At 45.5% G+C, this 13938-nt stretch overlaps 1 protein-coding gene across 2 annotated transcripts in view, besides 1 other annotated feature; it reads right to left on the bottom strand.

Annotated features, from left to right (window-relative positions):
• SMYD1 (SET and MYND domain containing 1) overlaps positions 1 to 13938 on the bottom strand; it is a 45560-nt gene that overhangs the window by 11788 nt on the left and 19834 nt on the right. Inside the window, exons 3-6 of one of the 2 annotated variants that reach the window (NM_198274.4) lie at positions 13522 to 13735; positions 10455 to 10585; positions 8042 to 8080; positions 4813 to 5002 (exon numbers count right to left, since the gene is read on the bottom strand). In NM_198274.4, coding sequence (NP_938015.1) covers positions 4813 to 5002; positions 8042 to 8080; positions 10455 to 10585; positions 13522 to 13735 — 574 coding nt within the window. The remainder of the gene's footprint in view (positions 1 to 4812; positions 5003 to 8041; positions 8081 to 10454; positions 10586 to 13521; positions 13736 to 13938) is intronic. The other variant, NM_001330364.2, reaches the window with a different exon arrangement.
• Positions 9393 to 9452: a silencer, noted in NCBI's record as "silent region_11728". NCBI's record gives its function as "represses an Ori minimal core promoter by ATAC-STARR-seq in GM12878 lymphoblastoid cells {active_cell/tissue: GM12878}" and the evidence as "EXISTENCE:reporter gene assay evidence [ECO:0000049][PMID:35858748]".

Genomic DNA, 13938 nt, shown 5'->3' with positions numbered 1-13938 from the left:
TTAAATTAAATTAAACAATGGATATGTCTAAATGACTTTACCAGTAAGCACTGGCTGAATTTCAGTCCTACGTGTGCACACACATGCATATGTGTGTGTATGTGCCTATAGGATTGACTATTTTTTCTAACTGGAATTATACCATATATCTGTCTATAGCATTTTTTCACTCAGTATATTGTAGACATTTTCCCATATCAATATAAAACTATCTATATCATCATTTTAATAAATGTAAAGTTTTCCGCTATATGAAGCTAGGATAACTTATTTAACCAGTTCTCTGGTTGTCCAATTTTTTCACTCTGAAGAGTTAGACTCAACAGCTTCCTTTCGATTTGCGGTTTACATTGTTTTGTGAAGCCACCCTCAGTAAACTACCAAAAAGTAACAAGAGAATGGGCTTTTGTTCCAATGAAAATGTATCCCCCTCTGTAGACCATCTTCCCTCCTTCTTCCAGCTGTCCTGGACCAGTTCTGCCATGGGTTTTCATCTCGCAGTATGAGAGTCCTCTGGCCAGGACACCTTGCTTCAGGGTCAGGCTCTCCTAAGGAAAGGGGTACTATATTTGTTCTTCTGCCCACCTCACCTACTTTGGCTTTTGTGTAGCTCTTGGCTATCCCTATAATTTTGGCTATCCTTGTTTCCATATCCTTCTGTATCTGGGCCTCCCGGGAGTTAGTTATTCTATGTGTCTACCTGTATTTGTTCCATGGCCTGACTCTGACAATGGATGCACCCATCAGTGCGCTAGCTTCTACTTGCAGGTCTCACTCCTAGCTTAACTTTTGCCTTGACCTTTGATTTGGCTGAGATTTCTGGCTTTGGCTGCCCTCCTGCCTGCTACCAGCTGCTGCCTTGTGCCCCGGAATGCTGTTCAGCCCTCTGTGAACTCAAATCATGTCTTTGTTCCAAAGAAGTCATTTCAGTGTGTGACTGCTTTCCTAAGCCTATTGGAATTAAGCCCATGTCTTGCCTGGTTGTGCAGAGTTCTGTGACTGGTGGACCAGAGGTGTGCCATCAATCTGTCAAACCTACATTTCTAGTTATAGCCGTAGCTTATTGCCCAAGTAATGACTCACAAAATCATGTATAGTGTATGACCCCTAATATCTAATCTACTGTAAATTCTATTATCTTTAAATCTCAAAATTCTTAGTGAATCTTCTGGAGTAATCAGAAGCTTGTAGGATAGATTAAGAGAATACTAACTGGTTAAGTGTTCATCAAAGTCTTGCTCAATTTGATGATGTAAGGGAGTGTCACTTGAAGCTCTGGAAGTGAGTCAATTTTTTTTAAAGAGGCAACTTACAAGATTCCCCAAAACAACCTGGCAGAAAGGTTGTTAATTAATAAGTGCAACATGTGATAAATCTACTCTGAGAAAGGAAACGGGGCTGTTCCACTTGGCTCCACTCTTCAGAGAAAAGGCAGGAACACTCTGATTTGCAGACAGGATTTAAGGAACCCCCGCTGTGAAAGGCCGCTGTCACCAGGAGCATCAAATTCTACAGAAAACAAGGAGGAAGAGGGGGGGAGGAGCCAGAGGCATAGGAGAAGGAGCAGGAGGTGGGGGATCTGAGGGGCTGGGGGAGGAGCCAGAGGAGAAGGGAGGAGCCATAGGAAAGGGGGAGGAGCCAGAGGATAAGGAAAGGGGCCAGAGGATAAGGGGAGGGGCCAGAGGACAAGGGGAGGGCCAGATGAAAGGGGGAAGGGCCAGATGAACGCGGGAGGAGCCAGAGGAAAGGGGAGAAGCCAGAGGAAAAGGAGCCAAAGAGGAAGGAGAAGGGGTAAGAAGGATGTTGGTTCCCAAGCCTGGAAAAATTGGCACATTTCTCTTTGATTTTTTTCTTTTCTTCTTCTTTTTTTTTTTGAGATGGAATCTCGCTCTGTCGCCCAGGCTGGAATGCAGTGGCACGATCTCAGCTCACTGCAACCTCCACCTTCTGGGTTCAAGTGATTCTTCTGCCTCAGCCTCCCGAGTAGCTGGGATTACAGGCATGGGCCGCCATGCCCGGCTAATTTTTGTATTTTTAGTAGAGATGGGGTTTCACCATATTGTCCAGGCTGGTATCGAACTCCTGACCTCGTGATCTGCCTGCCTCGGCCTCCAGAAATTCTGGGATTACAGGCGTGAGCCACCGCACCCGACCTGGCACATTCCTATTTGAAAACCATGGGTAAAGGCTGGAGAGAGAAAGGGAAAAACCCACCAGGCACTGTGGCTCATGCCTGTAATCCCGGCACTTCAAGAGGCTGAGGCGGGCGGATCACTTGAGGCCAGGAATTTGAGACCAGCCTAGGCAACATGGTGAAACCCCGTCTCTACAAATAATACAAAAATTAGCCAGCAGCGGTGACATGCACCATGGTCCCAGCTACTCAGGAGCCTAAGGCAGGAGAATCGCTGGAGCCCAGAAAGTCGAGGCTGCAGTGAGCTGAGATCACACCACTGCACTCCAGCCTGGGTGACAGAGTGAAACCTCGTCTCAAAAATAAATAAAAATAAAATAAAATTTAAAAAAGAATGATTATAAAAGAAAACCTAAGCAGCCTAAACAAAGACAGTCCAGAGACACAACTGAGGAAAAATGTCATAAGTTTTGCTATTATTTTCCCGTTTTAAAAATATTTGGTTTTTATTTCTACATAGGTTTACATACGCATATATTAAGGAGCTAGGAAAGATTTTGATGGCAATTGAAGGTTTGAGGCTGGTGTACTGATGGAGGCTTATCAGGGTGGGGTACAGCATTATAGGGAAAAGAAAGGAAATGATTGTGATGACATTGTAGATAGTCCAGCTTGAGGAAATGGTTAATAAGTTAGTCCAACTCCCCATTTTACAGATGAGGAAACTGAGGCCCAGAAGGAAGAGACTTGGCCAAGCTCAGATGTTTAGAGTCATAGCCAGTACTAGTACACAGGCCTCATAATTCTTCTTCCAGTATTCTTCCTACTACATTATGATGGCCTTTTTTTAATGCCTGAAGAAGCATTTGCTTTTAAAAAGATATACTCAATTTTTTTCTGCTCAGTTAGTATAGGTGAGTTATTTTTGAGTTGTTTTGATAGAGAAACTCAATTTGATATAAAATATAATAGAAAGCTTTTGCCTTGAATTCAGGTAGGTTCAAGCAGAAATCATCAATCTTTTATATCAAGAGAAATGCCAACTCTGCAATTCATACTGGAGATGTGTGTGTATTGTCACCAGCTGGTAACAGCATATCTAAAGTGAAGGGATGGGAACTAAAGGCCACACATAGCCTACTGAACTATTGAAACTGCCAGGTAAACATCAAAAAATCTAAAGAAATGATCGCATGGTTGTTTTATTTTAGAATAGAGAAAAGAGGGTCTGGCCTCTTAATAAAAATAAATAAATTAAGCAGTGTGGAAGCAAGTTATGAAACAAATACTCAGGGCCAGTCTCCAGGAGGGAAGGCTGACTGGCTCACAGATAAGACATGTTATCCGCAGGTTCTGAAAGGTCGGGGTGAGGGTGAGTGCAATAACAAATTCTTTTCTGTAGCGCCCATGATGCAGTGCTCAGTGCCTCTCACATGCATCCAATATACATGTCCTAGAATACACACCTTTGATTCTCTGAAAAGAGGTTGTTCCTATAGAAAACATAAATCCTTGGACCCCAACTGCTTTGTCTCTGCCTGGGAGGGGTGACTGTCAATCTCTTCACCCCAGGCATCGCTGGTCCTCCTACTTCTGTCTGTATGGAAACCGAGTATGCTTGCATGCACATGGGTGTGCATGTGTGTGTGTGTGTGTGTGCCTTTTAATGTTCATAAATGGTAGCACACACAGTGTTAGGGGTTAAATTGTATCCTCCCAAAATTCATATGTTGAAGTCTAGCCCCAGAAGCTACCTCAAAATGAAATCTTACTTGGCAATAGGGTCATTGCAGATGTAATTAGTTAAGGTGAGATCATACTGGAGTAGAGTGGGCTCCTAACCCAATAGGACTAGCGTCCTTATAAAAGAGAATGTCATGTGAGACGCCTCCATGCCTGTGCTGATCCCCCTCATCCTCCCCCTGAGCACAGCTTCACTGGAGGAAATGGACAAGAGGAGTCAGTGCTTTCTTCGGTTTTAGCTTCTTGCTTACACCATTGCAGTAAGTGATTAAATACTTCACTCTCATTTCTGCTCTGTTGCTTTAACTGGCTACTCTGACACCTGGCGGCTCAGCTCTCTCTCCCAGCTCAGCTGGGTTCCTGACCTCCCCTCAGCAAGCCTTCCTCTGCTGCTCAACAGACTCACCATCAACTGGCAACAGCTACCCAGGAGTTCAGGATGTTGACCAATCTAAACCTAGCCCTGTCTCCACACTGCCCATCCCCATGGGACTAGGAATATCTTTTTGATAACCAGATGATAAATCTCTTTGCCCATCTGATTTGAACACCTTAAATTCTCAACATCACTCAACTCATAAAGGAGTAAGAGGAGGAACCAAAATTTCCAGTGTCTACTCCGTATGCCACTCCTTTTACACACGTCATCTCCTTTAATCTTTATAACAACCTCTTGCAGTGGGGCCATCATTCCTATTTTACTGTTGAGAAAACTGGGTGACTTCCCCAAACTCAAACACCTGGCAAGTGGCAGTGCCAGGACCTAGCTGGGACCTACCTGCGGTGCTCTGCTCTCATGCCCTGCCTCCTCCCCAGGGTGACAGTTGCTCCCTAGGAAGCTCATGGGCAGGGCACACGGATTAGCTGTGAAACCACCTGTGACTGGCTCCCGGAGAAGACAGACACAAACACCTCAGCAGCAGGGCTGTGTGTACCTTGGGGTTGTCTTTCACCCCCAGGAAGAGGTCATCCTTCAGTTTTTTCTGGCAGTGTTCACATGTGCAGTCAAAGTAGTACTGCTTCTTCAGCTGCCTCTTGCGTTCTTCACTAACGTTGAGGAAGTCAATATAGGACACAGTCAGCTCCTCTCCTTCTGAGATCTTGCCTAGGGCCCGGAGCTCAATTCTGAAGCAGGGTGAAAGGAAAAGGTGAATCGAATCCAGGCCTACTGGAATGGGATCCGTGCTCTCCAAGGCTTCATGGAGTTGGGTCTCAAAGACAATGACTTTCACTGACACTCAGAAACTCCCATTGACCCCACAAAAGGAGAAATGTGACCTAAAGGATGATTTTCTGGGTAATTCTACTCTATTCCTTAGAACCGTCTGATCCATTCCATTCAGTTAACTACTGTGGAATCAGCTCAAATAGACTCCTAGTAGAGAGCTGGGCTTGGTCATAAAACCAGACAGAACGTCCATGCCCGTAAGCCTCCTTTTACTTTTTAGCTACTGATTGTCTGTAACAAAGGAAGGGAGAAATAATAAGGCAAAAACTCCAAACAAGAAAAAACCTAAAAATATTTTCTGGTTAGTTTGGGGACTACTCTCTCAGAAACATACACATTCGGTTACCCACAACCTTGGCCCATTCTGTGTCTAACTTGAAGTCACCTCTTAACCTTCAGTCCAATGGTTCAGGCCAAATTACCTAAGGAGACTTAGCCCACTGGAGATCACTGAAGGCAAATAAACAAAGGCTGGCTCTGTTAGCTTACTGCATTGTTCACTTTGGTGTTTATTGGGAGATGTGGCTTACTGGTTGAAGGTAGTTAGCAAGGGCAGATGGCATTTCAGTTCCCTTCCAGCCTAGACCTGACCCTCAATTAGCTACAGCACTACCCACCTTACCTAATGTGATAGGTACTGAAGATGTTGAAGGTAAAAACCCACTGCAGAACTGACATCCAGCTGAGCCAAACAGGTGGAGGTCAGTCCGTGGACCTCTCAGCCATGCATCCTCCACCACAAGGCCAGACAGCTACAGAAAACAAGTGGTGGGCCCTGCAAGCTGGGTCCTAAACCATGCTCCTGTATCTCCCCAGAATCCTGGGACCTCCCTGCCTAGTAGGAAGCCATCATCCAGAGAGGAAGTGGCAGGATGCAGAGGGCTGGGGAGAGCATCTGCACAGAGATCCGTGGTCACTTCTTTTACCTTCCAGAAAGGCTCAGTTGGACAGCATGCAAAAGCAAGGGCAAGACTCCAGCACCTGAGAAGAGTCCCAGTCAAAGGCAGCCCCTTCCCTGTGGTCTGAGGTGACAGTCAAGGGAGCAACTGCTGAATGGTAGTGACGTTCATATCCAGGCATCTGAGGTGACCACTTATGGATAAAAATCCTTCTCCCAAAGTGAGATACACTGACATGCCTATTAATGTGATAATATGTATAAAAACAACTCCTGTGGAGCCTGCAAAACTGAAGTGCCTGCTCACCATTTGTCCCTCCTTTCCTTTGTTCCTTACCCCAATTTTCAGCAGCAGCGGTTACTATAGTGATGAATGGCCAGTAGGAGAGGAAGGCCGGGTGATTCTGCTCACAGTTCTGCTTAGAATCCTATGTCTGAGCTGCAGGGACACTCATTTCACAAATGAGGATAGTGACACAAGAGGGATAGGTCCCACAACACTTTCGGGACAGAGCCAGGATTGGAACTTCATACCATCATGAATGGTACTTCATACCATTCACAATTGTCCTCAACATAGTAGCCTTGCCTGGTTGCTTTCAGGCTGCTTCCTGGGTCTTCAATGCATGGGAATTAAGATGCATCAAAGCCCTTGATTTTTAGGACTCTACTAATGTCCTTAATAATTCTGTGTGAGAAACTCCTGGGCCAGGATAGAGTGTGGATCTCTGGTGTTTAACTCTGTTGGGTAAGTAACCAATTCTGCCCCCACGAGTCCCTTTTACAGAGGCAGCCCACCATAGTGACATATTCTAATGCAACAGTGAATCAGTGGCCAATTGGGCTGGAATTTCCAGTAATTTTACTTCCCATCATGATTGTGCCAATTCTTGCACGGTCTCAGGGTGTCTGATTATTTCAATGGTATTAGAAATTTTTCAAAACCAAATTAACTTAATGTCACTTAAATATGAAAAGATGCATATATGTATGCCTGATTTTACCTTACTTGAAACTGGAGATTGGGGGAGGGGAATGGAGACCAGCCTGAAATAAGCACTGCAGGAGGCAGGAGATGAGGGTTTTAGCCCTGGCTCTCCCTCCAACCAGCTTTCTTGGACAAGCTTCATCCCCACTCTGGACCCCAGACCCCTTCTACCTCAAACAATCTGCAATTCCATAGTTCAGCTAATTGAGCCACAAGTAGGCAGCCTATTTAAGTATTTCTCACAGAGGTTAGGGACAGAGCCCAGAGCTGCAGAGACTTAGAACTAGGAAGGTCCCTAGAGCACTCTCCTCTTGACCTTTCTCTACAGATGTGGAACCCAAGTCCAAGAGATGATGTGAATCATCCAAATTCACGTGCAGTGCACACCAGCACAGACTCAAGTGCACCAACCACTTCTACCCCAGCATTCCCAAAGCCCAAACTCTCACACAGCATTTTGTTCTTAATCCAAAGACTATTTCAAGAGCTGTCAACCCCACCCTAAGACCCATCTGGGGCCATTTGGTTGTCATTAAGAAAAGTAAAATTTAACCTAAACTACTAATTCATAGTTGGTCAGAAGCAGTAAGCGGAATACTAGGAATAAATATTTATTAAAAATATCAGTTATAGATGCTATTTTTTGGAGCCCAGTCTGGGTGAGAAGTTGGGGCTTATAAACAGACAGTCCTTTAGTAGGTCAGTCACAGTCCCCATTTCATGGTAAGCAGGGTTTAGGGAGACAAGATAGGCTTTTGCTAAGACGATGTGGACTACAAGGGTTCATGCTTCAAGGTTGGAAGAGCAGTGGAAGTGAGGCATGAAAGGGAGGAAGAAAGGAGGCAAAATAAAGCAAAGGCAAGGCAGGTGATATGTGGGTAAGGAAAAAATGGTTAATTTAAATGCATTAAAAAGATGAGACACTGGGATGCAGAAGGACGTTATGGACAGATGGCAGCCAAGAAGTCTCGGGAATGGGTGGCCCCAGCAAACCAGGTAAGTGAGGGAGATGGGTCAGAGGAGCAGGGATGCTTGAAAGGACTGACCCACCTCATCTGGGTATGAAACATGGATTTCACTGCCTCATGACTGAAAGACAAAACAGACACCCATATGGAAATCATTATCATTGGCTGATCAGGTGTGATCCAGTGCAAGGGTGTACAGCATTCTGGGTCACAGTATCAAAGCTTTGGCCATCACAATAACCTTTATCCTAGCCCCTTCTAGCTGGACTCACTGGACAAGACACAGCCTAGTATAGGGAAAGTGCACTGAATTTGGAACAAGACATTCTGGATTCAAAGGTACTCAGCCCTGACCTGAACAAGTTCCTTCCCTTCCCTGTGTTTCAGTGTTCTCACCTGTAATGAGACTGTCATGAGACAGTTAAAAGCAGAGTGCTGGAAAAACATGCACAATGTTGTTATTATCATTCTATTAAGCATCCTGGGTGAATAAACATTGCCTCTTTGGATGTCTGTCTTGGAAAGAGTTTGAAGTGCACATGGAGTCTGGTTAGGTCACAGAGATAGTATGTAAAAATTGTTGGGGTTCAAATTGGGCCCCTAACCCCATGTCTAGGGTTCTTTCCACTATGGCAGGTGGCTAGACAGGAAATGCAAAGTCACCTTCTCTTGCACAAAAGCCAAGAAGCCTGGATAAAATGTGGCTGCTAGAAATTAGTAGATGCAAGGAAGCCAGAGCAGACACAGAAGAAAGAGTTCCTAGATTCCTGTGGTTGTTACACCCAATGACAAGAGGAGCCTTGGGTCACCACCACTTAGAAGAGGGCCATCTAGAAGGCCCAGGCCCATACATGGCTGAATTTGATCCTCTCTGCCAACCAGGTCAAGCTCAGTCAACAGCCCCTCTAGGGAGGATTCCATGAGATCCAGGCCAGTGACCCCAAAAGGCTTCAGAAAGGAAACACAAATGCTGAGAAAAGATTATCATCTGAGTCCAAAATAAACTTTCCCATCTTGAGTGACTTTCTCAATTACTTAAGAGCCTGGTTTCAGAAATAGGAAGGAAAAGAGAAATCAGGGTACTTGGCATATTGAAGCTTAGGCCCGATTCTCAGCTGAGAACCAGACACCATTGTCTGGCTTCTAGGAAGTTTTTGGGGGAAACTTGCTCATTGTTGATGGCTCAAAGTCAGCTTGTATCTGTCATAAAAGCTCATCTCTAAGAGCAAAAGCAATTAATATTGCTCGGGCCTCATTCCCCTACATTTCCCCATCCTGAGCCATGGACCACCAGGAGCTCATTCCATCTGCTGATTCTTCTCCATTTGTACCCCACCCCCAAATCCATCATGTGCCCTTATGTCCCCCCTCATCTGTGCTGTCTCAGAAAAGGGGGCTGGCCTCTGAGGGTTGCGTCACCCAGGTTTCTTTGCGGTCTGGCTTCTGGTTGGGGTTTGGCCAATGGTAGGAGAGCAGAAGGTTGGGGGAATGAGGGGTTGGACTATCTAGTCCATTGGCTTCCTCTTTTCTGAGCCATGGTGCCAGCTGGCTGGTTTCTCTAGACACAGTTATAAGCCACAGCTGAGCTGTTGGGGGCCCTCTATCCCGGGTCCAGCTCTCACTAGCTGCAGAAACAGTGCTTCCTTCACCTGCCCTTCCAGGCCTAGAGGTGGTGATGGTTTCATGTGTTGCTAGTCCCTGGGCACCTCACCATTCCTGTTAGTTTCTTTTTGTTGTTATATTATTTTGTTTGGTTTGGTTTGGTTTGGTTTTAGAGACAAGGTCTCACTTTGTCACCCAAGCTGGAGTGCAGTGGCATGATTATAGTTCACTGCAGCCTCAACCTCCTGAGGTCAAGTGATCCTCCTGCCTCATCCTCATGAGTAGCTGGGACTGCAGGCACACACCACCATGCCCGGCTAATGTATTTATTTATGTATTTATTTATTTTTTATAGATACGGGGGTATCACTGTGTTGTCCACGCTGATCTCAAACTCCTGACCTCAAGTGATCCGCCCCCTCCTCGGGCTCCCAAAGAGCTGGGATTACAGGCATGAGCCACCAGTCCCTGCCCCTTGTTAGTATCTTAAACCCTGTCCACACTTCTGTAAATTGTCCCTTCATTCAATTCTATTTGGGTAAAACCTTTTGAGTGTGCCTCCTGATTCCTGCTGAGACCTTGACTAAATGACCTCTAGACAGATAATCCTAGGCTTCAAGTTTTAAAATAGTAGTTAAAGGTTTATCTAACCTGTCCAGGCAGCCCCAAGAAACATACACATTCAGAAATGACCCAGGTTGAATTCTTTGATATCCTCCATGATGCCTTTCTCTCATTCACAATTATTCTGGAATGAGATTTCTATGTGCTATACATTTAAAATTTATGCTAGTTCAGGTTTAGCAGGTTGACTTTGGCTTAAGTCAAGTGGAGAAAACACCATAGGTCTCCCCATCCCCTTCACACACACCCCCACATAAAGACATACTCACTTGCCATTGTTAAATATGACAGTACAGTTGGGCCAACAGTCATGGTTCACCAGGCCCAGGTTGGGGAAGATGCCTACGCCCACGGCCTGCAGGCCTCTCTGATCACTGAGAGTAAAACCGTTGCAGTTAATCTACCCAGGGGAAAAGATGAAAGAGTCAGTCGACAGACATGGACAGAACAACATCCTAGCTGTTGAAAGGAGTTTTAAAAAACAGAAGACCCAGTCTCACCCTGGAGATGCTTAGGGAGTCTGGACACAGAACAATTAGTCTCCTGTTCTCTGCGTGACTCCAGATGACACACAAGATTAGGGCCATGGAACAGTCCCATACCTGCAAAAATGCAGCCCTACCTTGAAAGTTTTTTGTGGCTCTATTCTAAAAGAGTCAAAGGTGGAAATATTTTCCTTTTTCTGTATCTGGGTCTTACATGAGTATTCCTCAGTCTCTGTCTTGGTTTTTCTCTCTGTACCCTGCTTTGTGTGCGCGTGGGCGTGTGTGTGTGTGTGAGCTTTTCCTTCCCCTGTTTCCTCTGCCTACTCAGTTTAAACTCCTGTAGCTGTTCATAAAAAAAAATTGACATCTCTTTTGATTATTTTGTATCTGGTGCATAGTTTTATATTCCCTGCTCACAGTTGTTAAATCTGATGAGTGCCATATTTAACACTTATCTCTGAGATTCAAGGCAAATCAAGTTGGTTACTACTGATGTGGCATCCAAGTGATTTTCTTTTCCTTAAAAATAAATTTTTCTTTACAGAAACAGACACCAAATATCTGCTCTCACAGTAGGAAAAATACATAAGAATAAATATAACGTAGAATACATTAGTAACTGCATGCAGATTTCCACTTCATCTATAAATACATCTATGAATACATGCTGTACATAACAGAAACTCAGTAGACATTTATGCCCTCACATGGATATTTGTCATAGATATGGAGGAGTGTCACTTTCTCCATTTATTCTCATCAGACATTTAGTAAGTTCATGATGTTAAGCCTCTGAGTACCACTAACAAGCTGTACTACTTGGAGCAAACTTCTTTCTTCTCTGAGCCCTGGTTTTCCCATCTATAGGTTGAATAAATTGGACTAGATAAGCTCCAAGGATCTTTTCAGCTCTAACCTTTGGTAATTATATGACCTCTAGCCCTAGTCCCCAGACCTATCAGGGATGCCGAAGATTACTCAACACACCAATTCACCCCAAGGCTATAGAACATAACAGGTAAAAGTAAAAGCTTAGGCCAGGCGTGGTGGCTTACGCCTGTAATCCCAGCACTTTGGAAGGCAGAGATGGGCAGATCACTTGAGCTCAGGAGTTTGAGATCAGCCTGGGCAATATGGTGAAACCCTGCTTCTATAAAAAAAAAAAAGCAAAAATTAACCAGGCATAGTGGTATGCATCTGTGGTCCCAGCTACTTGGGAGGCGGGAGGATCACTTGAGCCTGGAAGATGGAGTTTGCAATGAACCATGATTGCACCACTGCACTCCAGCCTGAGTGACAGAGTAAGACCCTCATCTCAAAAAAAAAAAAAAAAAAAAAAAACAGGTAGAAGCTCTGGCTCCTGAAAATACAGACTGCTTCTAGACTTTCCCTGGGCACAAGCTGACCATGTGGCTTTTGGAGGTCATGTAACCCCTCTGGGCCTAGGTTTTCTGTTCTATAAAATAGAAATACTGAAAGCATGGACCTTACCTTGTGTTGTAAAGATTGTGTAAAATAATACATGGGAAGCTGTGGTGGTTAATTTTGTGTGCCCACATGGCTGGTCAATGGTGCCCAGATATTTGGTCAAATACTATAATGTATGCTTCTGTGAAGGTGTTTTTGGATGAGATTCACATTTAAATTGGTGGAGTTTGAGTAAAGCAGAGTGCCTGCTAGAATGTGGGTGGGCCTCATTTAATCAGTTGAAGACCTGAATAGAATAAAGACTGATCTCCCCTGAGCAAGGAGTTCTGCCAGCAGAATGCCTCCGGACTTGAACTGCAACACTTCCCTGATCTCCAGCCTGATGGCCTACCTTGCAGATTTTGGACTTACCAAGCCTCCACCATTGCGTGAGCCAAATCCTTAGACTCAATCAATCTCTCTCCCTTTGCCCCCCAATATGGTGAAGACTGGAGAGATGTCAGTGTGATGTTTGTCCTCCTCCGTCCTCAGCCTGCTCACCTTCACCACATAAAGGTCCTGGCCTACCAGATGGAACACATCCATCCCCACAGCCAGGACCTGAGCCTCCTCATCCACCGGGTTCTCGCCCCCACTTCCCGGACTCTTATGGCCTCGTCTGGCTTGGTTGCTCCCACCCCAAAACCCTGACTCCCCTCTCTCTGGCTCACATCCCCCACTGCTCCAGGCTTCACATCAATCCTGCCTGGCAGACCTGGAAAAAGGTTTCCAAAGTGACTGGTGGGCAGGAAGGGATAGTGATTGGGGGTCTTTATTTTCAACGTGGAGAGGAAAAAAATGTAAAAAGTGCAGATAAGTAAGAGGATAAATTACCATCCAAATCTACCATCCAGAGATGGATAAATAAGTAAAATTTGTATGTGGGATGCCAATTCAGATACAGCAGGAATGGCCTCACAGTAAACAAGGCCAGAAGACAGAGTCCAGGATGAGGGGTCTTCACTTCAAACTCCTGTCCTCCTTCAGTCCTCTTGGCCTCCCCTCCCAACTCTGGCCTGACAGTTTCTGGAAACTTCTTAGTTGGACGATCCCAGCTGTCACCATGGCCCCTCCTTGATAAGGAATCATACTCTAGAATCTCCGGATTTTATTAGTTGGGTCATTTGGAGGCCTGTCCCTGGGCTCAGAAATGGAAGGGGCAGTAGATGTTTCTGCTACATGCGGTAAATAGAAGGCGGTTTCTCCAGCGCCTCTGGCTGCCTGGGCTAGATGAGACCTTTATGGAAATAGAAATCAGGGTCCAGGGCAGACAGGGCTTCTGCCTCTTAGTTCACTTCTGAGAAGCCCCACCCTCCCCAAGTGGGAGGAGGGAAGGAAAGAGGAGACAGACAGGGAGGATGGAGAAGGGACGCAGGGGGCCTACCACTCCGAAGATGTGCGAGATGTACTGCATGCTGAACTGCTGGCTCTGCGGCGGCCAGTACTGCAAGAATGTGTCCACGTCCACCCGCAGGTCCTTCTGCTCCTCCTCCCCAAAGTGCTCCACGTGGTTCTGCAAGTCGTCCACGGACACCAGGCAGCCCTCCGTGAGCCCGGTGCCTTCTCTCTCCACCCGCCACATGATGCGCGCCGCCAGCCTGTGGGAAGGGCAGCGTCAGGAGGCCACTACAGCTGCATTCATTCCTTCAACACACATTTACTGGGTGTCTCATGCATGCCAGGCACAATGTTGGGCCCAAGATACGTTTTTAAACTAGATGGATGGAATTTATTCTATCATGATGCTTCATATAGTGGGGGAGAGGTAAGTAAACAAGCACATTTTACATAGAAAGTGCTA

This window comes from Homo sapiens, chromosome 2, assembly GCF_000001405.40.
Source record: "Homo sapiens chromosome 2, GRCh38.p14 Primary Assembly".
NCBI lineage: Eukaryota > Metazoa > Chordata > Mammalia > Primates > Hominidae > Homo > Homo sapiens.
The sequence above is the reverse complement of the archived record's forward strand: the minus strand, read 5'-3'. Positions and strand labels throughout refer to the sequence as shown.